Consider the following 26,961-nt stretch of genomic DNA (forward strand, 5'->3'; position numbering starts at 1 on the left):
AGAAGACCTGATAGGAAAGATCTTGGAGTCTGGTTTAGATTGGTCTACCCTAAAAGTTATAGACATCTTATGCAAAACTGCATAATAAAATTTATGTCTGAAAATTAAATAATAATATAGTCTTTGATTCTTTCTGGTGTATAATAGGAGCAGATTGTTCAATAGAACAAGCAGAGGAGGATTTTTTGTTTGTTTCTCTTTTTGCTCCTATTTTGGGAATACCAAAAAGAGTTATTCTAAATCACTCAGGTGTGAAACAAATGACTGCATGAAAATTGTGAAATACCTTCAATTAAAAGAAGAAAACCTGTGGGCTCTTGCTGGGGTACTAGTCTATTGTAAGAATCCCTCTATAGTTTAGTGTTTAGCATTCAGACCCTCAGTCAGGTGATACGTATGAAATTGCTCAAGAACTTCCTCTCACAATAATGTCAACTTTTTCTATATAATACAGAATGTCCAAGCTGGAAGCCACAAAAAAAAAGATGGCTAGTTCCTAAATCTGCAGAGGTGGAGACTAGAATTTAGAGATTCATGGTCCAGCTAGCTCAAATAGTTAATCTCCTTGTTCTAATTTGATAGCTCTGTCCTTTATGCCACTCAAACTGAATTTTGATACCTATGACAATTCTAATGCCATGAGGAAACACAGATAGAAAAGGAGACAGTACCTATTAACTTGTCTTGGGGTTGTTAGACTGAGTATTGTAAGAGATAAGGGCAGGTAAACGATGAGTTGCTTTTTCTCCTCCATTATTATGCTGCCTAGCAAGGAGTTGGTGTTCAATATGCGCTTATTGAATGAAGCATTAAGTGAACTGTGTTGTGATCCCACTAAGCACCTACTATGCACCGACTGTGGGTTGCACACTGCATTAAGTGCTCCACAGTCCATAAAACACAGTCCCTGGTATAGTTTGGATATTTGTCCCCGCCCAAATCCCATGTTGAAATGTAATCTCCAGTATTGGAGGTGGGGCCTGGTGGGAGGTGACTGGATCATGAGGGTAGATTTCTCATGAAGAGTTCAGCACCATGCCCTTGGTGCTGTCCTCGTGATAGTGAGGAAGTTCTTCTGAGATCTGGCTGTGTAAGTGTGTGGCACCTTCCCTCATTACCTCTCCTCTCTCTCTCTCTTGCTCTTGATTTCACCATATGATGTGCCTGCTACCCCGCTGCCTTCTGCCATGATTATAAGCTTCCCAAGGCTTCCCTTGGAGCTGAGCAGATGCTGGCACCATGTTGCCTATAAAGTCTGCAGAACTGTAAGCCAATTAAACCTCGTTTCTTTATAAATTACCAAGTCTCTGGTAGTTCTTTACAGAAATGCAAGAATGGCTTAACACAGTCTCACTAAAGGAGTTCACAGTTTACTTAAGAAAACACACAAGTAAACAGATACTTACAATATTACATGATAAGTGCAACGGTGAAGAGGTGAACTGGAGATGCTACAAAACTTTGAAATTGAAACTCTAAAAAGAAACGGGCCTACATGTGTAGAAACGGGCCTACACTACATGGCCTGTAGTGCAGCCAAAATAAGCAATTTGTAGCAAAATGTGTTATCAGTTAAGATTGGAAGCTTTGGATAACATACTTATTTCTATCATGTGGCTATTTTTTTTTTAATTGAAACTACAGAGCTATAGCATACTCCTATACATGAGGATAAGGTCAACTCTGAAGGGAATGGCTATTCCTATCAATACTATCAGACATCCTAGCAAAAACTGTCCTGCCGCAGAAAATGAACACTCAGAAGAAAGGTGTTACAGGCTGAATTGTGTCCCCACAGATATGTTACTGTATACGAAGACAGAGCCTTTACGAGGTAATTAAGGTAAAATTACATCATTAGGATGGGCCCTAATCCAATATAACTGGTGTCCCTTAAGATGAGGCCATTAGGACACAGAAAACAGAATGGGGGATAACCAGGTAGGGACACAGCGAGGAAGCCACCTGGAAACCAAGAAGAGAGACCTCAAAAGAAACCAGTCCATTGATCTCAGACTTCTAGCCGCAGAACTGAGAGAAAATACATTTCTGTTGTTTTGGCCACCTAGTCTGCGGTATTATATTATGATGGCCCTAGCAAGCTGATAAAGAAGGCTCCAGATTAAAATGAAGAAAAGTCACCTTTTCCTTCTGGAGCCAGGAGTTAGTTTGACTTTCACTCTGAGCTATTGGGATTTCTAAGGCATTTTCAGAAAAAGCTGGTAAACTAGGCCCAGCCACTGGAAGCAGGTCAGGGGTGAGGCAGAAAGTCCGAGTGGGGAAGGCACGCCAAGCTGTGTCCTGGCTTGGGTCTGAGCTGTAACTTATTCCCTGCATCGCACTCCTTTTCTGTTATGGTCAGACTTTCAATAAAATAATTATTAATATTACAACCTGATCTTTGGTTCTTTGGGGTGGTTTGCATCCTTTCACTGGAACAAGTGAAGAAGAAAAACTTCTGTGTACACTGGAGTTTCATTTTCATAAAGGAGGGTCATCAGGGAGCAGACAGCAAGGACAGCAAACCTGAGCAACTAGTGTTGAGCACACATGAGGCCCAAGGTGCACCTCTTAGGTAGGAATACCTTAGAGGGAGAGGGGCCTAATTTCAGGCAGACTAGAAGATCTCCTTGAAATTAAATTAAATGTAATATTATTTTCTATGACAGTTTAACAAATTCTGAAGCATGCAGTTGGCACGAGGAAAATGAGGGACCTATTTTGACAGTCTATACAGAATTTGATTTGGGAAGATGATTACGTCTTGGATATTCAAACTACTGGTAAAGGTGTCTGTGAGACAGTTAGATATTGAAATCTAGACGGTCTCCTTTTATATCTCTTTGGCATTTTACAATTTGTAAACTTCTTACATAGGTTTTCAAATTATTTGCCTCAAATGCTCTTTGTAAATAGGCATAGTGCTTCTAAGGTCTACTTTTTGACATGAGATCACTTTCAGATGGACAGAGAATTTCTCATCCCTATATTACATATAAACTATAAACTAAGCTTTCTCAAGGCCACTCAGTGTAAGATCTGGGACTCCTGGTCTAGTGTCTATCTCACACAAAGTATATGCTCTTAGAAAAGCCCTGAGCATCCACAATTTTAAAAATTTATTTCAGGAAAAAAGACACATTCTAATACAATATTCTACAGCCGCACTTCATAATGCTAATTTTGTTTTTCTTGATAATAATTTCTATTCCCTCATCCATTAATGGATCACTAAATGGCACTTAGAGTTTCGGTGAACCAAGTCCACGTGCAACTCTCTTTTTTAAAATGAAAGTTTAGAATAGCCTTAGACTTACAGAAGTTGCAAAGATAGTGCAGAGTTCACATATACTCCAGACTCAGTTTCCTCTACTATTAAAATCTTACATTAGTATCATACATTTGTTAGAACTAGTGAACCAATATCTATATTTTAATATTAACTAAACTCTATGTTTTATTCATATTATCTTCGTTTCACCTAATGGTCTTTTTTCTGTTCCAGGATCCCATCCAGAATGTCACATTATAATTAGTTGTCATGTCTCCTTAGGCTACTGTTGGCTGTGCCAGTTTCTCAGACTTTACCTGTTTTGGATGATCTTAGCAGTTTTAAGGAGGCCTGTCAGATACTTCATCCAATGTTCTCTAATTTGGATTTTTTGCTGTTTTTCATAGTTAGATACAGGGTTATGGCTTTGGGAGAGGAAGAACACAGAGATAAAGTACCATTCTCTCAACACATCATATCAAAGGTATATGTTTATCAAATGACTTATCATTGCTAATGATCACCTTGACTACCTGACTGAGGTAGCATTTGTCAGATTTCTTCACTGTAAAGTGACTCTCTCCTTCCCCTCCTTTCCATACTGTACTCTTTGGAAAGAAGTTACTATGTGTAGCCTACATTTAAGAAATGGGGAGTTCTATACCACCTCCATGAGGGCAGAGTATCTACAAAAATTAGGCAGAATTCTTCTGTATGGGAGATTTCTATAACTCTTCTTATTCCTAAACATGAATATATTAAAATGTTTTCATGTGTATTCAAAACATTCACAATTTTTTTTTTAATTTTGAATATGGAACTATAAAACATTCCTTCTATCTAATAATGGAGGGGGGAGAGTTTTCAGGCATAGACATAACCAGGTTCCTTTTGTAGTTTTTGTTTTGAAACACCAGATCAGGTTACTTTTCTGCTTAAAATCTTTCAATATCTTATAATCATCAAGATAGAATCCAATACTTTTGGCTATATAAAGGGCTTAGAATTTTCTTTGGAGTATAACTTTACCTCCTGTCACACTCCTATACCATCCCATGATTCTGCCATCCAAAATATTCAAAATGTTTTATGTCTCCTGAACTCAGAATTGTCTCATACTTCCAATTTTTTGCAGGTATTCTCCCAGAATGCCATTTCCTCCCTTACCTATCCAGTGAACTTTTAGTCATCTTCCAAGCTCTGTACAACATTCCAGTTGGAACTCTTCAAACTCATTGTCTTCTGATATCTGGTTTATAAAGGCCTTAGACATCCCCATATAATCCCAGAAGACTATGTGCATAAAATGTTTCTGGGAATTATCATACTGGACTGCAACCTTAGCTTTATTTTCCCTCCCCCATTAGATAGCATGCTCCAAATGCACATGCAATTAATAAACAATGAAGTTATGCTATTAGAATATACCTTCTCTTATTAGCCAACGATAAAGAATATTCTTAAAATTTCCTACATATAGGCATTGACTATTGCATATGCTCTTCTACATTGCTGATTTAGAAATAGTTTTCCAATCTGCACATTTGTTGTTCTGTAAAATTTGAACTCAACCCTAGGTCATGTGACTCTCAGCCTAGGACTCTGTCTACATCATTGTAGTGTTTCTCAGTTCGTAGCACTAGGAAGAATATCTAACACAGATAATGAAGATGGAATTTCCTGGAATAAAAGGAGGAAAATTTAAAAATCCAAAAGAATAAAAATGTCATACCAGAAAAAAAATGCAAGATTGTCTAAATCATTCCTTTGAATTATTGATAAGAAAGATACTGAGGCTAAAATTGGTAGTGTTCATCTGACAATTATACCATTTATTAATGAAAAAGCTATGAGCTAGATCATAAGGATTCTAACTCCCAACCAGAGATCTTGGAGTAGAATATGGAAAAGGTGCCAGTAAAAAGATTTGCCTGATTCTATTAAAAACATGTAAGACAAACAACTGTCTCATGATTAAGCTATTTTTTCTCTTACGGTAAATAGCTCAAAATTTCTGAGTTCTCTAGGGATAAATTTTGCGTAACAGTGTAGGTGTACAAGTTTGAATATGTGAAGTAATTTTTTTTATTATCTTCTCTTCCTTTTTTTTTTTTTAAAAAAAAAAAAAAAACAGTACCAATCTCTTAAATCAAGTCAGGTCAAATGTTGCCATAGTTGTCCTCAGGATTTTTGAATTATCAGATTCTTACTATCTCTAGGCCTTTGATTTGAAGAGCTCTTTTTTGAGTACGATATATTTTTGTTGTTTTGTTCAGTTTTTCCCCAAGATAGCTTAGAGAATAAAAATTTTTGAAAGATATGTGCAAATCTAGATGTTGACTGCTTTCAAATGACTACCACTCAGAAGTTGGGGGTAGCCTAATTACTGATGGAGTTAAGGACACACTATCCCAAAATTTGGCACCATGGCATTTGAGGAAACAGCAGAAGCAAGAAAATTGCTCTCATTTTCTCCCCGGAGGCAGGTCCTAAAAGAATTTTCTGAATTTTCTCTGAAGAAAACCTTCATGCCATAGGTTTCCTTCCTATATCTGGAGGAAAATAACATTCTTATTGTCAAAGACTTAGAGACCCCAAGAGAAATCTGAACAGGCCTTGCCAAGTTCCTCCCAGCTTATTACATTAGATCATACCCTTTTGTCCTCCAATTAACAGCGATATGATCATTTACTCTTCATCAAACTTAATATAAAAACCTACAGTTTTTTTTATTTCTTTAGGTCTTCATTTTTGAAGGCTCCTGTCTTATGTAAAATTAATTGCATTAGTCTGTTTTCATGCTGCTGATAAAGACATACTCAAGACGGGGTAATTTATAAAGAAAAAAGAGGCTTAATGGACTCACAGTTTCACATGGCTGGGGAGGTCTCACAATCATGGCAGAAGGCAAAAAGCACGTCTTACATGGCAGTAAGCAAGACAGAATGAGAGCCAAGCAAAAGGGGAAGCCCCTTATAAAACCGTCAGATCTCATGAGACTTATTCACTTCCTCGAGAACAGTATGGGGGAAACCAACCCCCATGATTCAATTATCTCCCACTGGTTCCCTCCCACAACATGTGGGAATTATGGGAGCTACAATTCAAGATGAGATCTGGGTAAAAACACAGCCAAACCATATTACTAATATTTAACAAATGTGTATGCTTTCCTCTTGTTAATCTGCCTTTTTTCTTGGTGCCTCAGCTATGAACCTAGATGAGAAAAGAAATCTCTTTCCCTCTATATTACCTACAAGTTATTTACATGTTATTTTTTTCTCTTAACCATAACTGATATTTAGTAGGACACATATGTATGGTCTAAATATTGTAGGTTGGTAAATATCTCCTGCTTCAAGAACTTTGAGTGGCCTATGCCAACTCTGGTTGCCTTGCCTAACCCTCTCTCAATACCCCATACCTCCTCATGATATAAGGTTAGCTCTAGAACCCTGAGATGGAAAGCATTCTATTGTAATTTGTTGATATCTCTACCATACCAATTGTTAGTATTTGTATTACCAACTATTCTCACAGCTGAATTCAATACTGAATTCTTTCAGAGGTGTTTTGACACTTCAGATTCTGAAATTATTTAGCATCTCTTAGCCATTAGTTCTCAACCTCCAAAATGATACGTGCCTTGCAGCGTTGTGAAAACTAGTAATTTATGCAAAATACTCAGCACATAGTAGGTGCTTCCAAAAACACAATTCTTAAATACTAAAAAAAGAAGAAAAATGAATATTTATATCTTTCTTCATATATATGCATTATGTGAGAATACAATTCACTTACCAACTGAAATAGAGAGGTAGGAGTTTCGGAAAATCAGGAGAGAAAGAGAAAGTTCTTCTACAGTATTAATAATATTTTATAGATGTTATAGTTGTACATGGTACAGGGAGGACCTTTCTTTTCTTAAAAAATTAGTAATAGCAATTTAATGCTGAATATGATATGATCTCCGTTTCCAAGGAATTTAAAATGTATTATATAGTGTTTTCTTATAACCAGCCAAATACATAATTCAGAATAAGGTCAGAAACTTTATGATGGTTGAGTTACTTCCAATCATTAGCACCATGGTTGGGCTTTGTCACTTCAATATTTACTGAGCATATTCCATAGAGCAGGCAATATACCAGGCACTGGGGAATATAAGGATGAATAAGACTATGTCCCTAACTTCGAGAAGCTCATCAGTTAATACAAAGTATAGACCTATAAGTTATTGTAGCAAAATGAGATAGATGCAAAATAATAGAAGTACTGTCCGAGAGAATATGAGGAAAGCTTCACAGAATACGTGTGCCTTGAGGAATAGGTGGAAGGGGAATTAGCCAAGTTTTTGGAGGAAAGGAAGACATTCTAAACATACTGGACTGTTTTTATGCACTGATGTGTATCAGAGAGCAATCAAAGCCACATCCAGCCCTTGTTCCCAATGTCATTACTCCCTTCTTTGTGTAGTTTTAGTTCCAGAGCTGGGATAATTTTTGGCATTTGACTTGCTCTGCTATATTTTTAAGCCTACCTCAGTATATTCATGTTCTTGTTAAATACAGTTTAATGGAATAGAAAAATATTTTCTGTAAAAATATTATCCCACCAAGAAAGCATACTCAATAATGAACTAAGCATTTCAGTTCTTTTAGTTGAATTTTTCTATTCAGATTTCATAATATACAGGTGACAAAGTAATAACAATTATGGCCATTTAATAGTATTTTCTCCTATTTCCTAGGGAAGGCAATTTATTTTCAAATTCATAAGCTGCAAATGGAGAGTTATTATTATGGTAATGGACTAAAATGCAAAACAAATGTCGTCATGACATGTGGAAAAACATTCCTACAACGCTACCCAGCAAAGATTTGCACTTCTATGGATATTAAAAATATATGCTCCTTTATCAACATGCTCAGTTATTTATTCCACACATATTTCCCAGTGCTTCTTGTGTGCTAGACATTCTGATATAAGGATGGAAATGCACAGTTCTGGACTTCAAGATTCTAATTGAGGAAAGAAATATTAACACTCTCTCATGGGGTCATTTTTTTAACCTGAGTCTTGCACAAAGGGGATGGTCAGAGGGCTCATTTATATTTGCCTAGTGATGTCAGGGAAGGTCTCGGAAGAGGTGAGAGCTGAGGCTGATGGGATAAGTGGAGTTTTCCAGACTAATACATACGGAGAGGGCGTCCCAGACAAAGGGAACAACACCTGCAAAGAAGCAAAGCAGAGAGTTATGCAAGTGCAGGCGGAGAGAAGAGAAGGAGAGAAGGGTTCAGAGAACTAAAACTGAATATGAAGGTGGAGAAAGATGGGCCGTATTTCAAGTTCTGAGGCCACAGAGTCACAGCTGTAACAATGGTTCTTTTAGAAAGATAATTCTTTGAAAACATCCTCTTCCCATGCCATATTTCAGTCACACACCTTCAGGTTCAACCTGTCTTGTGTGAATTATTTACCTTAGAATAACCAAGAGGTAGCTAGTGCATTTACCCTCTGGCGGTCCCTTAAGACTAACTTATTAGGAGAGCAAAGATGATTTCTACCTTGTTAACCACTGTACTTCTAGGGCCCAGGACAGCATGTGGCTCATAATTGGTACTCATTGAAAATTTGTGGATTGAATAAATAAGAGGAAAAATTGATTACTGACCTAATATCATTATGGCTCTGGCAACTATTAGCTGCATCTCCTTGGGAAAGTGCTTGACATCACAGCGCATCATTTTCAGCTGTAACATGTGTGTGCTACACTCCTCTTGATACTGTCAGGATTAAATTGGGTTGTTTATGTGAGAGTCAATACAAATGCCTAACCGATAAAACATCTTTAATGTGTAATACATGTTGTTTCCAATCCCTTTTTTTTTAAATCATTCTCTTTGTCTTATATACCAATTTAAATATCCTATTAAATAGCCAAACAAAGGAAGCAATCAAAATAGCAACCAAATCTGCCCTGCAATCTGCACCTCCCACACGCCTCACCAGCACTGGTCTATCACTTTCCATTTCACTGTCGAACATCTGGTAAAAATGATTTAAGTTCACTATGAACTTTCTAAAGGACATGTTTCAAATCTTAACATGCAGGCCTTTGCTTCTAAAATTCCCTTTGTAATGTTTTACTCTTTTAAATTTTACGATAAGTGGTCTTCTAATTGCCAAATCTACTCATCTTTTCTCTTACCAGAACTCTTGGCAGGAAGTTCTTTCTCTTTCCTTGGTCCCTTCCCTAACTCTCGAGAAAACGAAAGCTTCTTGTTCCCTGCCTCTTCTTCTGTCAGTCCCTTAAATTTAGACACTTCTCAAGGCGGCATACTTTTTTCTCCCTTTTTTCTCTCATAATTCTACATAGACTTGGTTTCACAGCTTTGTTCTAGTCTCCCAGTAGCCACTGACAACTAGCCCTGTTTTCTTCATAATGACTAACACCACCTGCCCAGCATCCTCTGACATCTCTGCATGAGAGTGGAAACATTCTTCTACATCACTCTGGTAAAGACAAATCCTCTTACTGCCCCCTTTTCCAACCTGGTTCTCCTCTTATGTATATAAGAAAGGCAATTATCTTCCTCTTTGAAATTGTGATCATTTTCTGGTTCCAAAAATTCTTCCATTCTCACAGAGTATTCACTCATTTTCGAGAATTTTAACTTTACAGCATAGTAGGCACTCTTCCACATAGCCTCTCACCTTTCTCAGATAATTGCAACAGTTTCCTCCCAACTCTAATTTTTATCTTCTCTATGCTATACTCTATAGCCAAAGCAGCTCTGTATAAAGCACAGATCTATTCATATCATTCTCCAGTTGGGCCACATTTAATTGTTCTTATTATTAAGAAAGAAAAAAAAAAAATATCACCCAAGGCATTTCAGCCCTGCAGCCAAATCTTTGAAACACCTCAGGCAACCTTCTAAAAGTGGAGAAAATGAGAAGGCTTGCCTTCACCTCAATTCATTTTCCCTTCAGATATCTGAGTCCTGTAAGACTCATTACCATTCCCGTGTGGCCTCTCACCTTGCTGACTTGGCCTCTGCCATCTCTTCTGCCTGGAACACCATCAGTCTCCGCCAGCTGCACTTCTGTCACTTACCACAGCCCAGATTCTACCTCTTCAAGGTTAGTCTGGGGTCTTCAGTGATATTTTCTAACACTCAACACATTAAACAAATTATTTTTCTAACGTTTAGAGTTAGAAACAGTCTCCCTCATAAGTGCGTTTTATACCCATGCTCAGAAATAAGTTCGAGTGATGGTTATCTTTCGTTCACTCGGTCTGTTATTTTAGGCTGCTGCGTTATCATCAGCATTAGAGCAGGATCGTTGACTTTAGGTAAAGAAGGTTTATTACTTCAAATTAGACCTTCTGATGAGATTCAAATTCTCCCATATAATTATTGCCAGCAAGAAATGATCCACCACCGTACATTTAATTGCGGTCTTATTTTTTTCAAGGGGGCTGCAGGGAGGGGGAGAATTACATGGGGAGATTGATTCATTGAAGTGAGTCAGGTAAACAGCGTTTAGTGCGGAGGGATTTAAAGGTTCATCCGTTTCTATTTATTCCTGTAACTTAAGAGCCCAATTAAGTATAATGGGTTAAAGTATTAAAAATCGGTTTGATTATCACTACTTACTCAGTGAGACACTGATTAAAGCTTAGGGAAAAGACAATTCTATTCATAGAGCTGAGAGAGGGAGAAAGATCAGAAATTGTTTATGGGCACTTTTCACCTTATATTTACAAGGATTTTAATGAGGGGAAAATAAGGAAAATAGAAAATTTGTTCTTCAAAGGCTGACCTAATAAGTGGAGGAGGCAGTGACAATGCTGTGTTACTTTTAGGGTGTGACAGCATGTACATTCCAGTTGCCAAACATATGCCTCATACCAGCTTGCCCCATCTGTGCTCCCTGAAAGATAGTATCTTTTCCTGAAATAAAAATGTGCTTTCTTCTTTTCCTTGTCCCTCCTACCACCACTGAGTTGTGTCATTTCAAATTATTTTAAGCTATAAATTCTTCCGTGAAATTAGTTTAACCAAGATGTCAAAGTGACAAAACAGCGTATTGGAAAGAGCACTGAATATGAAGTCACAGAGAATTGATCTAAAGTCCTAATTGTGCCTCATTCTTTCTTTCCTTCATTCATGCAAGAAATGTTTTATAAGCCAGCTATGGGACCTTGGCCAAGTTAATTAACCACACTAAGATTTAGTTTCCTCTTTGTGTAATATAGATATAATCACTATGGCTTGCCTGGCAGGATTGTTGTAAGGATCGCATAAAATTATTAAAGTGAAATCACTTGTACATTCTAAAACACTATGTGAATCCTCACATTTTGATGCTGAGAGAATAGTGAAATGGGAAACCTTAAGGTCTTCAAATCCTGTCTTGCTTGTGTACCGTTTTACACAGTTCCACCCAGTGAGCACTTACTACATGGAGTGTATATACTAGAAGGTTCAGGAATACATAGGAATACATAAGAATACATAGCAATATATGTATTATGCCATGATCTCTCCCTAAGGGAAAGGGAGGGGAGAGGTAGAAGTATTTACCCAGTGCAATAGTAATACAAGACAGCAGAAGCCAAGAGTTAAATAGTCGATGCAGACAGTAAACATGTGGGTTTACAGGGAAGATGGTGTGGGGAAGGCTGCAATACTGCCTCATTGGACTCTCATGTCACTGAAGGGGACACAGTGTCCAAAGGGCTCTCATGGCTAGTTAGGACACAGCCACACAGCCAGCAGCCGATTCCACCTGGCTGCTCTCCCTGAGAAGTACCTCCAAGGTAAGACCCTGGAAATAATCCCAGAAAAGAAGGAGCGATGAGTTCTGGACTGATGATTTGGTGGAAAACACAGCCCTCTAAGAGTGTGGGATAAGAAGGAGGCTCTGGCTTCCTTTGCAAATACACTACTCGTCCTTCCTCTCCATCTTAAGTCACTCCTTGTCCTGTTTCCTCTCTTTCATTCTTCTTATGACTTCTATGCTCTCATGTACTCTATGCTCTGTGGTAGAAAAGGGGTGCTGTGTACACACAAAATAAAAGTACCTGTGGGTTCTGGAGGAAGATCTAGCTTACTCCACAGCTTACCCTTCAAAGCTCACAACAACACACTGAGCGATCCCCTTAAACTCTGTGTACCTCCGTTTCCTCTGCATAAGGGGAATAATGCTTACCTAGTAAGGAAGGCAATGTTTAACAAACTGACTTTGTTTTGGCTTATAATAGGTACTTAATACATACCTCAATAAATATTACTGTTTATTGTTGGTTGTACCAAAGAATACCCACTGTGGGGTTGGGGGTTACCCTAAAAGCCTTTAACATAGCATTCTTTTTAACGTAATATTATAGCAAATCTTTCCCCTTACCTCACTTCAAAATATGTACTTTGTATGAAACATCCAAAGTTGATCAGAATACTTAATAATTTTAAAGCAAATTCTATAGCTTTTATATTGAATAAATCACATAATTGGATCATTTCTACATTACTAATATTTTGATATTATTAGTTTCGTGGACAAAAAAAGGAGAAGTTGTTTGAACTGATAGATTCAAAATAGTTACTTATTCTTTAAATGATTTTTTTCTAATAAAAGAGCTATTTTTTCTCTCTCTCGCTTTAGCTGCTAGGAAGCTCAGAGTCAAACCAAACTCTCAAATCCACCAGGTATTACCAGATCCCAGTTTTCTTCTCTTTGTCCAGTTTTACAAACCTTATTGAGAGTTATTCTTTTTATAAGTTGCCTCACACACTAGCCTAGTATCTTTAAGAGACCAACCATAGATAACTGTCTATTACACTCCATCCATACATGAACTGTATTAGGCTGTTCTCATGCTGCTAATAGAGACATACCTGGGACTGGGTAATTTAAAGGGAAGAGGTTTAATGGACTCACAGTTCCATATGGCTGGGGAAGCCTTACAATCATGGCAAAAGATAAAGGAAGAGCAAAGGAACATCTTACATGGCAGCAGGCAAGAGTGCTTGTGCAGGGGAACTCACATTTATAAAACCATCAGATCTTGTGAGACTTATTCACTACCACGAGCACAGTATGGGCAAAACTGCGCCCATGATTCAATTATCACCACCTGGTTTCACCCTTCAGATGTGGGAATTATTACAATTCAAGTTGAGATTTGGGTGGAGACCCAGCCAAACCATGTCAATGACCTAGCACTGAAAAATCCATTTTAACTGAGAAGCCAGGTGCTATAATTGTAGAAAGAGTACAACCCAATGAAGTCTAAATCCAAGTAACATGTACATAGGCAAAACAGTCATTGTTTGCAAAGAAACAGATGACTGTGAATTGATTTAACCTGAATATCATTTAGCCACTCATAAGTTATTATTTTTACCATTTGATTATTCCTCAAGACTGTGACAGCTCTGGCATCCTCAGTTCATAGTTCCCGAGGTTGCCCTTGAGATCATCTCCTTTCCCAAGTTGAAAGGAGCAAAACCCATAGAGGAACATGTGGAATTGTTTTATGTTCATGGCTACAAGTTGTATATATCATTTCTGATCATATTTTATTAGCTACAATTCAGTCATATGACCAATCTAACCACAAAGGACACTGGAACTACCTCTCTAGCTCATAATAGTAGTCTAGACCGTACGGCTAAAACCACAAGTCTACATCAGAATTTACTTTTACTTACAAAGAGTTTATTGATAGAAAGCATCACAATTTAAAAATGCACTGCCATGCACCAGTGCATTTCATCTTGTGAACCATAGTGTAGTAGCTAATTTAAGGACTTTGGATTCAGAGTTTTCATTTCCCCATGGGAAATTACTTAAACCTGCTATATTTCTCTTCAGGTCTGTTTTAGTCTTTGTAAAATGGGCTTTGTCATCAAATAAACCTGCAGTTAAATCCTGGCTCTGGCATTGACTGCCAGGAGGTTTGGGAGATGTAATACTTTTAAAACATACCCCCAAAGTTTTCAAGTGAAAATTGTTTCTATCAAAAGGTAGGGATTATGCGTTTCTCCTTGAATCTGGGCCCTATGACTGCTTGACTGAAAGAGTATGGAGGAAGTGATGCTGTACCAGTTTCTGGCACAGGCTTTATTAAACTGGCAGCCTCCATTTTTTGTCTCTTAAGATGCTTACTCACGAAATCCAGCTGGCATGCTCTGAAGAAGCCCAAGAAGTCCTTGAAGAAACCCATGTGGAGAGAAACAGCTGGTCCTGGTCTGCACTCCTGGCCATGTGGGTGAGCCACATTGAAAGCGAATCCTGCAGGTCCCAGTTGAATGCCTCCCCAGATGTCTGGTGGATCCAAGAAGGGCTGTCTCAGCCAAACTCTACCTTATTTGTGAGCAGATAAATGACTGGTATTGTCTAAAGCAAGTAAGTTTTGAGATGATTCGCTTCAGAGCAATAGATTACTAGAACAAGAGAGTTTTGTTTATTCTGTAGGAAGAGCTACCATTAGATTGTTGGCCAATTTCAGAAGAATTTCTATGCCTTACATGAATGTTACAAAATCATTTTACTTAAAATTCAGCCTATTCAAAATTTTATAAATTTCAATCAGCTTCCTCATCAGACTTCATTAATAAAATAAATGATAATACTTATTGTTTATTAAATTAATCTGTACTATACACCTCATGGGAGCATTTCAGATTTTCTAATTTGATTTCATAATAATTATATAGAATTAATATATTAATAATATATTAATTCTATAAAATATTAATATATTATTAATATATTAATTCTATAGAATTATATTTTTTTAAATTACTGATAAGAAAACTTAGGCTTAGGGAAACTACATAGTAATTAACATCATCTGGATAGGCACACTGATGAGTAAACACTTAAGCCTATATCCTCCCGCCTGTTTCATGCTACTTTTTACGTATATTATCTGATAAATAATAACTAAAAATCAATCATGACAGCAATGACTGAATGGGCTAAGAAAAGGAAATGGCTTTAGTAAGACTTTATTGACAAAGTTAGCCAAGTAGCAGAGCTTTCTAGACAGACAAAACAGTATAAGCAAAGGCTCTGAGGCATGCCATTTTTTGCCAGGGAGCTGCATATATTTTAGTATTATTGGGATTTTGAGTTTCTAGAACAGAAAATGTACGAATGTCTCAGGATCCTCAGAAAGTATGTGAAGGGTGAACTAGACTACCTAAGAGTACTGGGACTACTATAAGGATAGCTAAGGAAAGAGTACTTGGAAAGCTGCAGCGTTTGAGGTCATGATTATTTCTTTTACATGTTTCTCCGTTCCTCCAATTATAAATTCCTCAAGGATAATAAACCAAACTGATGTTTCTGTGTACAGGTCCCATTTGTAATGAAATTTTTAATACAGAAAGATGTTCAAATATATTCTCTGAATGAGTGAATTTTCACTTAAACATTCTAATTTTAATAAAATGTTTCCCAGGATTACTTTAATATCTATCGCACATTCTCTTCGAATTTTTGTGAGACAATGTATTATTTCAGGATCAGCTGAATTTAATAGGCTTATTATACTTTGACCAGTTTTTTACTAGTAAACAATCTGTCAGTATAGGAATAATTCATATTAAATCCAGTGTAATTTATGTATAGATAGTTTGGGTTTTGTTCATTTGACTTTTTACTTGTTTCTAGATAGATAGATAGATAGATTAGATAGATAGATAGATAAATTTAATGTAAGATGCAGGCTCATGAGATTTTGGAGGCTGAGAATTTCTACAGTCTGCAGGCTGGAGAAGCAGGAAAGCCAGCAGTGTAATTAAAAGCCCTAAGAGTTAGAGAACTAGTGGTATAGATTTCAGTCTGTCTGAGGGCCTGAGAACAAGACCACTATAGATAGCTTCAGATTGATGTCACAGCTCAAGCACTCAAGAGAGTTAATTCAACCTTCCACAATTCTGTTCTATGCAGGTACTCAAGGGATTGGATAACACCCACCCACATTAGGGAGGGCCATTGGCTTTACTCAGTCTATCAACTGAAATGCTAACCTCTTCCAGAAACACCTTTACAGACACACCCAGAAATAATGTTTAACCAGATATCTGGCATCCAGATATAGCCCAGAGATAGCCCAGTCAAGTTGACACATAAAATTAACCATTATATCCATATATGCTAAATCTATGATAATAAGACTAAGAGTTGAATTAGGATGGGGAAGACCTGAGTCACAGCTATGACTTTTGTTCCTCTGATAAGTTTTTCATCATGAAAATGATCATCATTTTCTCAGCCCTGGCTATATTAGGATTTTATTGTGAGAATCAATACTATCACTTTACTATTTCAGTAATAACTATAGCAAAAACATTAATATTCATGACCAACATAACAACTCCACTATATCCAATATCACCTTTTACTGGGGACTTGCTAGATGCCATACATTAGAGCCAGACTTTAGGTACATTACATCATTTAATTTAGAGTAACCAATGAGACATGCTCTATTATCTTCATTCTATTATCTTTCTTTTTTACACAATTTTCTTGGCATAAGAATATGCTTTTGATATAATAATAATGAAATCAGGCAGAAAACAATACGTGGTGCAACATGATCTTTACCACATAAATTTAAAATGCAACCAAGGAATAAAATCAAAGAAAAATATGACTCTCAAATCAAATAAAGTGGCTTAAACATTTTATCTCTATCTTTGGTCTCTCCTATGCCATGGCAAGACTCCTTTATAATTCCAGTAGGGTTGCTAGATTCAGCCAATAAAACTACAGACTATGCAATCAAATTTAAGTTTCAGCAAAACATCACATATTTTTAAATATAAACATAAACCACCTATTGCACGGAACATACATAAGCTAAAATTTATTCGCTGTTTATCTGCATTTAATTTAGTTTGATATACTGTATTTTCTCTTGCAACGCTATTTCCAAAAGCATCTTAAGGGTATGGTATATATAGAATTTAAAAGTACAGACTTTGAAGCCAGGCTCAAACTTCACCTCTGATATCTTGTTGCTTATACAAAATCTGATTCCCTTCTCTGTTTGAATTTCTTATCTTAAACTAGGGGAAACAATAGTACCTACCCAATAAAGTTTTGAGAAAAATTAAATGGGTTAAAAGAGAAACTTTACTATAATACCTAAGATAATGTAAAAAAAAAAAAGGTATTTTAGTAATTTTCTGTAGCAGAGGACTTCTCACTTCTCACACTGATTTATAATTGTTCATTTATCTTTGTTTCCTACATACCACGAGATATTTGAGAACATGGTATATTTTTTAATACTATATCTAAATTTACAACATTATTTTTGATACCTGGTATATATTCAATAGCTATGACCTCTGTCCCTCTGATAAATCAGAGTCTGTTCCTCTGATACTTTAATACAACAAATATCTGTTGAATAAATATATCTTTAGTAGATTTCTAAGTTACATCTGATATATTATTCTGTTCCATAGTGCACTGTTCATTTGTTTAAAATGTAAACTTATAGTCCCTACCTGAAGCCATCTTTATGGATATCCTATTAGCAGAGATTAGATGATCTGCTCTATTTCCTTTCTTATAAAATTTAGGGGGCAGAAGACCGGAATACCTACTTCATAGAGAAGACCAAAGTGCCTCATGTGCCAGGGTAAAACACAGAGTGGGATGGCTCTTCTGTGAATGTCCTTCTCTGAATATTATCTCCTGTTTTAGTCGCCACTTTGTCTTTCATGGTTAGAGTTGGTCTGTGTCACTCTTCATAAGACGGCCACTTCACAGGCAGCCTCACATATCTGAATCCCAATGCTCTTGGGTTCACGCTAATGTTCTGTTCTGGATCAAGCTTTTTTTTTTAATTATTATTTATTTATTTATTTTATTTTCCCAACCATTTTCTGTCAACCACTACTTAAAGCTTAATTGGAATGAAACTGAACTGGGGATTATCAGTCTTAGTTGTAATTTATAACTGCCTCACTGTTCTTCCAATATACCTGGAGAGCTTTCTAAGGTCACTGATGCTTCACAGAAGACTTGACAGTCACTCTAGTTACAAGCAATTCTGTTTGTTCACTCAGAGTTTCTCATTCTCATTTCAATGTCTCAAAAAAAAAAATCACTGGAAACAAGGCTGTGGTTTCTACTTCTTATATAGTTATGCAATACAAAGGCGAGACTGAATGCAACTATCATTTATTGTTTGCCAGGAGGGTTCAAGTATATGCTAAATGCTTTACATATGCTTTCTATTTTAATTCCCACAGCACGCCTGCAATATAGGTATTATTTTCCCATTTTATGTATCAGGAAAGGTGAAGTGGCTCACCCAAAGACACAGTCCTGCTAAGTGGCAGAGGTACATTCAAAATCCACATCTGTTTTCTCTGCACAGTATGAGGTTTTAAGGACAATGTGTTTTAGGAGAAACCTGAGTTCAACTCCAGGTTCTGCTTTTAAATAACTGTGAACACTGCATCAATGCAATCAATGTAATTCATTTTAGTTCAATTCTACGTTTACTGAATACCTGCTGTATATAAGATTGTGCAAGATGCCACAAGAAATAAAAGTTGAAAAGGAAATGGTGTAGGTTCTCATCAAATTAAAAACACAGTAAAAAAGATTAGCTATACATGCAAAAGCTGCACTGGAAAACAAGATATGACAAGTCCTGTAAAATATATATAAATTGGTTACAGACATACAGAAAAAAAGAAAAGTTGTCAGAGAAGATCAGGAAAAGGAAAATTTGAGCAAGTCACTCAAGGCAAGGGAGTATTAATAGTTAATTTTGAATGTCAACTTGACTAGACTAAAGAATGTCCAGATAGCTGGTAAAACATTATTTCTGGGTGTGTCTATGAGGGTGTTTGTGGAAGAGATTAAAATTTGAATTGGTAAACAAGTAAAGAAGACCTTCACCAATGAGGTTGGCAGCATCCAATCCTTTGAGGGTCTAAATAGAACAGAAAGGCAGAGGAAGAGAAAATTTCCTTTCTGTTTGAGTGGGGATATCCATCTTCTCCTATCCTGGAACATTGTTCTTCCTGGTTCTTGGGCCTTTGAACTAGGACTAAATTACCCTACTAGCTTTCTTTGTTCTCCAGTTTAAAGATGTCAGATCATGAGACTTCTCAGCCTCTGTAATCACATGAGCCAATTGTTAGAGTTCCAAAAATAATTATTTTTCTCTCTCTTCTCTCTCTCTCTTTCTCTGTGTGTGTGTGTGTGTGTGTGTGTGTGTGTGTGTGTGTGTGTATCTCATATTGGTTTTGTTTCTTTAGAGAATCCTGAGCAATACAGCAGTTTCTCTTAGAGCTTGAGAGACAGCACTATTGAATTAGAGTGTCCTGGACTTATCCTAGCTTTACAGCTATTATGACTGTTAGCAAAGTGCTTAACCTCTTGCAGCCTTGATTTCTTCACTGTCAAAAAGGGATAATAATATTTTCACCTAATGAGAGTTTTCGGTGGTTGTGAGAAGCAGATATGCTAGATAGCATTTGTCAAAGCACCTAGCACACCTGCTGACACAAAGTAAGCAAACACTCAATAAAGATTAAAACTTAAGACAGGAGAATTCATATTTTTGATAAGCAGCATGGAGGATGGGAGGACAAAATTGAAATCTCCAGGGACAAAATAAGTAAAAACATAGAAGGCAAAAAAAAAAAAAAGGAAGAAATGTGTTTGTGAGACAGAATATATATAATTGATGGTAGGATGTAAGCTGATTTGAAAGGGAGGGAGTAGAATGCAGTGTCAGGCTGATGGTATGAGAATGATCGAAGTGAGGTATGACAGGTGGTCCTGATATGGTACTGCTCACAGAGGCTGGATTTACTGCGCGGGAGCAGAGCTGGCCAAAGGAGAACTGGCAGATCTTGGCAACTCTTGAGTTATGGTCTGGAAAGGGATGGGCTAAATCTAATCTTATGCTTTTGCCTTCTGTGTAACAGAGTCCTTCAAAGAGAAAGAAAAAACAAAACAAAACAAAAGATAAAGGTTGCCATAAAAAAAAAATATATATATATATATATATATACACACACACACACACACACATATGTATCTTTGGTTTGGTGCAACGTAAACTTCAGTTGATGAATGTGGAGCTTGAGAAGGAACTTTGTTACAGGAAATCTAACAGTGGATTGAGTGCTCAACTTACTCTGAATTCTATAATTATATGTTCTTTATAATCCTCACAACATACTATAAAATAGAAATCATAAGGATTATTATTTTACAAATGAAAAAACTGAAGTTTCAGGGGTTTTAGTCACCCATCTAAAGTCATGAAGCCACAATGTGGCTAAGCAAGAGTTTGCACCGAGGCCTAATTTCAGCACCCATGATTTTATCTAGTATACAGTACTGTCTCTCTTGAAAACAATCAATCCAAATAAGTTAAATCCATTGGAACATCTTAGTGTATGATGGTAAAAACAATCTAGATAATGATACAAAGTGATATCTTCAGTAAATTATTAATTACTCTAAAATGTCTTTGTTTTACTAGTAGTTTTGCTAATAAATATTAATCTCTAATAGACAGTTCACACTTAGCCAATCCATTTGATAATCAGTTTATTTATTATAGAGCCTTAACACAGTTATTATGTAGTTCTTTAAGGATCTGAACCAGGAGGATAGCATTTACAAAGCTGGGGTTTATAACCAGAGAAGATCATAGAATTTATGACAGTTGATCTCTACACATAAGGGAATAATGAGTCTTTTTTAATCTAAGAGAACTGGAAAGTCTGGTTTTTGAAAGGGTTCCTTGGCAATTTAGATATTACCTCAGTTTTACAGAGGAGGAGAAGGTTCAGTGATCCTTTTCAAAAGCACATAGAATAAGTGTTATAAGTGTTATAAGTATTGGAACCGAGATTTAAATTTGGAAATATTTTATTTCCATCCTAGAACTAGAGACAGATCATGAAGAATTGACAAGATTTGATCTTTATTTTCAAATAAAATACAGTCCAGTTGAAGAGTCAGGTATGTAAACACACACATGAAAAGAAACACAAGATGGAACAACTGAGCTCATTTGGGTAAGACTATTATATGAGCTCGAGTAAGAAAGCTCAGTAGGATTTTAGTCAGACAAAAGAAGGCAGTAGAAGGCATTTCAGACCAAAATAACAGAGTTGTAAAGGCATGCTGTTACTAAATGGTGTGTATTGAAAACAGGGGGTATTCTATTTGTCTGTAGCATGGAATACGAGGAGATGGAGGGCAGAAGAAGGGCTACATTGTGAATAAGCTGAAATTTCGAACTAAAGGTTTTGAATTTTATTTTGGTGATGAGTAGGAAAAAATTAAGGGACAGAAATAGATGAATTCTAAAATTCTTAAACTGTATGTCTGTAAAGGAGTCATAGTGTAGAAGTTGACAGGCATATGATACATACAGAAATATGCTGATTCTCCTTTTCTGTTTCCAAGACTGACACAAGTAAAAGTAAAGCCATCAAACAAGAGTGCATTAGTGAAAACATCACTGCCTATCAAAACATTTAGAACAAGGAAAGAAGAAGATATTTTTAGTCTGTGATTGTAATAGAATAGCTGTGAAACAGTTTGATATTCTAGTCTAACAACTTTATAAAGCCACAGCAATGACTACTTTTATCTTCCCCATCAAAGATGATGCACTTTTAATGCTGAAACTATGGCCAAGAACTTGGTCCATTTCCAAATTAACAAACAGCGCTAATGGATTTGAGCCCATAGAGTGGCTATCCTAAGAAACTTTCCAAGGTGAAGCGATCTTTATTATAATAAAAAGGAAACTATGGTAACAGGCATAAAAAAATAAAATAAATAAGCAGTAATCTAAAAGGAACTTATATTGATAATGGTTGATATATAAATGTAGCATTCTTGGGGTAGCTCCTGGAACAGATCTGAACACTCAAAAATATGTGTGTCCTCTGGTTTGAAAGAGCTCTTGTACACACTGCAGCATTATCATATGAGCACTAATAGGATTGGAAATGTACATAGTATGTCCTTGAAAGATTGCCTACTAATCCAGTGACTTTCAGTTGAAAGTATGGGGGTAGGAAAAAAAAACAGAGAACAAGTCAGAGAGTTAATGCAATGAAACTGGAGAACCAGTAAATAGTAATTTTAAACAGATAATAGATTTCCTGGATCGAAGACTATTCAGGTTAGAATATTGTAATTTTCAAATTAGTAATCAACACACATTAAAGGTAGAATACTGATTTCATTTGTTTAATACTATAGAAGCAATGAATCCAGAAATCATAAAGAAATGTTCAGTCTATATAGAACCATCATTTTTTTATCTTTGCTGCATCAAACTCTATCCATCTTTTTTTTTCAAGAAGATAAAGTATAATTAACGCATCCAAGAGTTATCCCCTGGCATAAAGCCCTGCCTTCAATGCCATCCAATCCAAGTGAGGAAAAGAAGTAGAGGTGGGTTAGAGGAAAGAGTGTTGGTAAGGAGAAAACCAGCAATTCCTGCCACACTTTCTATAAGCTGTTACTGGTCAGCCTTTGGAAATGACATCTTAAAGTTGTGGATTCTGGCACTCACCCTGTTCTTGATTAAAACATAACATCTTAATTATCTAGATGTCTTTTCACCAACTGCACTAAGTTCTGCAATAATAGGGACACTATTTAACCACCTCAGCACTTCTGGTAAGAAAGCAGCTACTGGCTGGCCTCTTACTGGGAGACTGTTTTTTTGTTTTTTTTGTCTTTTTTTCCTTCTGAATCTCAACACAATTTCCTTCACTTCTCTACCTTAAATTTGCTAGCATTAAAATGATGTATAGCATCTGTGCAAAATGAATATTTATAAGATTCATACCCTTCTCCTTAATGTCACTTCACTGAATATAACAATAAGCTTCTGTTTCTTTTTTTGAAATATGTTAACAATAATACTAGCAGCAACCATGTATTGAGTGCTTACCTTGAGCCAGGTATTATGTCGAGAGCTTTTGCATATCCATTTAATCCTCACAGAAGTTCTCTGGGGTATTATGGTCATTCTCATTTAACAGCTGGGGAATCAGGTAAAGGTATGAGTAACTGTCCCATGATTTTACAGTCATGCCTAATAGGTTGGGATTTAGCCCAATATTGTTAGATATCAGAGACCTTTCTTTTAACGAGTGATTCCCAAATTTCTGTCCCTTTGAATATTAATTCCTTAGGTTGCTCTACAAAAAAAAGTGATCTGAGATCAAATAAATTTAATAAACACTGCATATTATGTTTTTCCCTTAGAGATTTAAAATGCATATTAGGGCAATAAAAGTTACAAAAAGGCATACAGTCAAGAAACCAGTTTAATTTTGATTAGCTATAAATTTTCCTAATTTATTTGAGCATGGAAACTCATGTATTCTCTGTAAATTACCTTATACATCACCCACTTTGGAAAATATTGCCATACTTTTTTCTCTTGAGTCAATAATTATAAGTCTCTTTGACTTGCCATTGTCTACTTTTTTATCTGAATATGACTTGCTTAATTACTCCACCTTCTAAAGCCTATCTTAATGGAAATGGTGCCACCCTTTTTTGACCAGAAAGCTCCTATTGATAGATGAGTAAAGTTGTAACTAAACAATAATCTTATCTCCTTACACTCCTCCCCTTCCTTATCATCTTCCCTCCATCCCCTGTCTTGGACCTTACTAATTTTGACTGGATCTTGAAGTTATAGCCAAGACATGGTCTGCACCAGAAGGTCTCCCAGAAACACATTACCCTTCAGGTTGAATGAGAATCTTATCTCCTATGGTACTATGGTACATAGTTCTGAATGGTATGTGGCTTTTAATTCAGCTCTTGAACACGTCAGTATCTGCTACAAAGAAATGTGTAGAATAAGGAGCATGGAATCACAAAATTTGTAGAATTCCTGGAGGCAGTGAATCCAACATAAATTTTACACTCTCAAATACATTAACTACTCTGGCAGATCAAACCCCTTTATTTCTTGAAAAGGTATTTACAAATTAAAATTAAAGGTCTTCACATTGGCCTTTGATACTGTTAGCAATATGTACCCTATCAACTGTTGCGGCTTTACTTAGATTTGTAATTCTTTCTTTTCCAACTCAAGTCTTTTCATTCTTTTTCTACACATGCAGCATGAATATTAGAATGAACATAGATTCTAGGGACAGGCAGAATACCATTAAGCAAAAAAGCAAACACTACCAAGTTAATTTGCTATCTTGTGCCTCATTTTCCCCATCTGTAGCCTAAACAAAAATTAACTTTCACAATTGTTATTGTTGTGAAATCACCTGGCACCTAATTAGTGTTTAGTCCATGTTAGCATTCTTTTCAGTGTCAAAACTTTTATTCATGCCCTTCTTGCTATCTGAACCATAATTTGCTAAGACTCTTTCTGAAAGTTTAAGGTTGTTATGAGCTTGTTTATGAAGCTTACCTTTAAAGCCAAACAAAGTGAAGCAATAGAAAGGATGTAGTATTTGCAATCAGACAAACCTAGGCCTGAACTCTTGCCATCTCCATTTCTTGACTATGTAACTGTAAGTAAGTTATTTAGCCTCCCAAAAGTTCAGTTTTCTTATCTCTAAAGTCAGGAGTACAACATCCACCTCATGAGGTTACATCAGGCATTAAGTAGAATAGCAAAAAAGAAATGTCTAGTATTGTGCTACTGTTAATCTCTATCATTTCGTGCAGTGTTCAACCATAGCATTATTTCTTGACAAATGTAGTGACTGAGTAAGAAAATGTTTCTTCCAGTTAATGCTAGAGATTAAACTGAAGGAAATCTACCACAGTGTCCTAGAAGTTGATGAGATTTACCAGAATTGATTTTAGCTCTTCCATGTAGGTTTGGGGAGTGCTGCAGTCAGGAGGGACAGAAGAATGTGAAAATAGATGAATATTCCAGGCTTCCAGGGTTCATGCAACCCAATCATCAAACTCATATTCCCAGAGCAAGGCTACTTATCCCTGTTGCGCTTGGCAGAGGAACAAAGAATTCATGAGCTATCTTTGCCACAGAATTAGACACTGAAGCCTGGAATTAAATCAAAGATGGTCTTTTGCCCTTCCCCTTGGTAGTGAAGCCATGTACTTGTGTAATGTCTTGTTTCTTCGAAATTTCAGAATGCATTTCTGAGAGTAGGGACATGGGAAGAACCTTTTCACTCAATGGATGAGTTACTGCAACTGATGCTTCAGTTTTTCTACTTGCTGCTAAAGCTTCACTTTTTCAATCCATCCAGCAAGTATCATTCTAGATTGACCTTCTTCAGTTTCCTTTATCATGGCATTCCAGAACTGACTTACATCACACCAATACTGATTGGCCTAGATTCCAAAACCATATATAATGACCCTGATATTTTTATTAGCATATTTTCCAATTTCCAGACTTCTTAGTCAACACTCAGAACAACTGTAAATTGCTCTTCTAATAAGTTTCTGTTCTAAAAATAATAAAAGAGCTTACTGATGCTGTGAACAACTGCTTCAAGTAAAAACAACATAGGCACAATTCCTGTATAGTCTATTTTTTTTTTTTTTTTTTGAGATGAAGCGTTGCTGTGTCACCTAAGCTGGAATACAGTGGCGCGATATCAGCTCACTGCAACCTCCACCTCCCGAGTTCAAGCGATTCTTCTGCCTCAGCTTCCTGAGTAGCTGGGGTTACAGGCACGTGCCACCATGCCAGGCTAATTTTTGTATTTTTAGTAGAGACATGGTTTCGTCATATTGGTCAGGCTGGTCTTGAACTCCTGACCTTGTGACCCGCCTGCCTTGGCCTCCCAAAGTGCTGGGATTACAGACGTGAGCCGCTGCGCCTGGCCTAATACATTATTTTCTAATACCTTACTTTTTAAAATAGCTTTATTGAGATACAGTTAACATATCTTACAATTCATCTGTTTAAAATGTACAATTAGTTTTAGTATATTTGTAGAGTTGTGCAGCCACCACCATTTTAGAGTCCATTTTAGATTTTTATCACCTCAAAAAGAAACCCTCTACCCATTAGCACACACTCTGTCATCCCCCTCCCAACTAGACAACCACTAACCTACTTTAATTCTCTATGGCTTTGCATATTCTGAATATTTCATATAAATGGAAACACACAATTTGTGATCTTTTAGAACTGGCTTCTTTCACTAAGCAAAATGTTTATCCGTGTTTTATCATGTATCCATACTACATTCTTTTGTGGTGTCAAATAATATCCTATTGTATAGATATACCACACTTTACTTTTTCATTCATCAGTTCATGTACATTTGTTTCCATTTTTTGAAATAATGAATAACGTGTACAAGTTGTTGAGTGCATATATGTTTAATATTTGGAGGAAATGCCAAACAATTTCTGAATTGGCTTTTGCAAGCCAATGCCTCATTCGAAGTAGAAAAGAAAGTTAATTTTGTAAGCTTAATAAATTATGGTTTTTATTATTATTAGAAAAAGATGAACCAGAGGGATTGACAACAGGTTACAGAAACAGTGAGAAGCCCAGTGTTAAAATTTATTTTTTTAACCTCTAGTCATGTGTTCTTCCACCTATAACTTTCTGAAAGAAGCACATTGCAATGTATGATGATGTTGCTTAGGTCTTTTCACCTTATTTTGTTCCAAGCCTCATT

At 36.4% G+C, this 26,961-nt stretch overlaps 1 long non-coding RNA gene across 1 annotated transcript; it reads right to left on the reverse strand.

Moving 5' to 3' along the window:
- Nucleotides 1-13,980: 13,980 nt before the first annotated feature.
- Nucleotides 13,981-25,584, reverse strand: LINC02720 (long intergenic non-protein coding RNA 2720). Its single transcript, NR_120570.1, has 3 exons — nt 24,759-25,584; nt 23,265-23,355; nt 13,981-14,611 (listed from the first exon to the last, which is right to left on the reverse strand). It is a non-coding gene; the product is annotated as a long intergenic non-protein coding RNA 2720 (long non-coding RNA).
- Nucleotides 25,585-26,961: the final 1,377 nt, after the last annotated feature.

Source organism: Homo sapiens, chromosome 11 (assembly GCF_000001405.40).
Source record: "Homo sapiens chromosome 11, GRCh38.p14 Primary Assembly".
Lineage (NCBI taxonomy): Eukaryota > Metazoa > Chordata > Mammalia > Primates > Hominidae > Homo > Homo sapiens.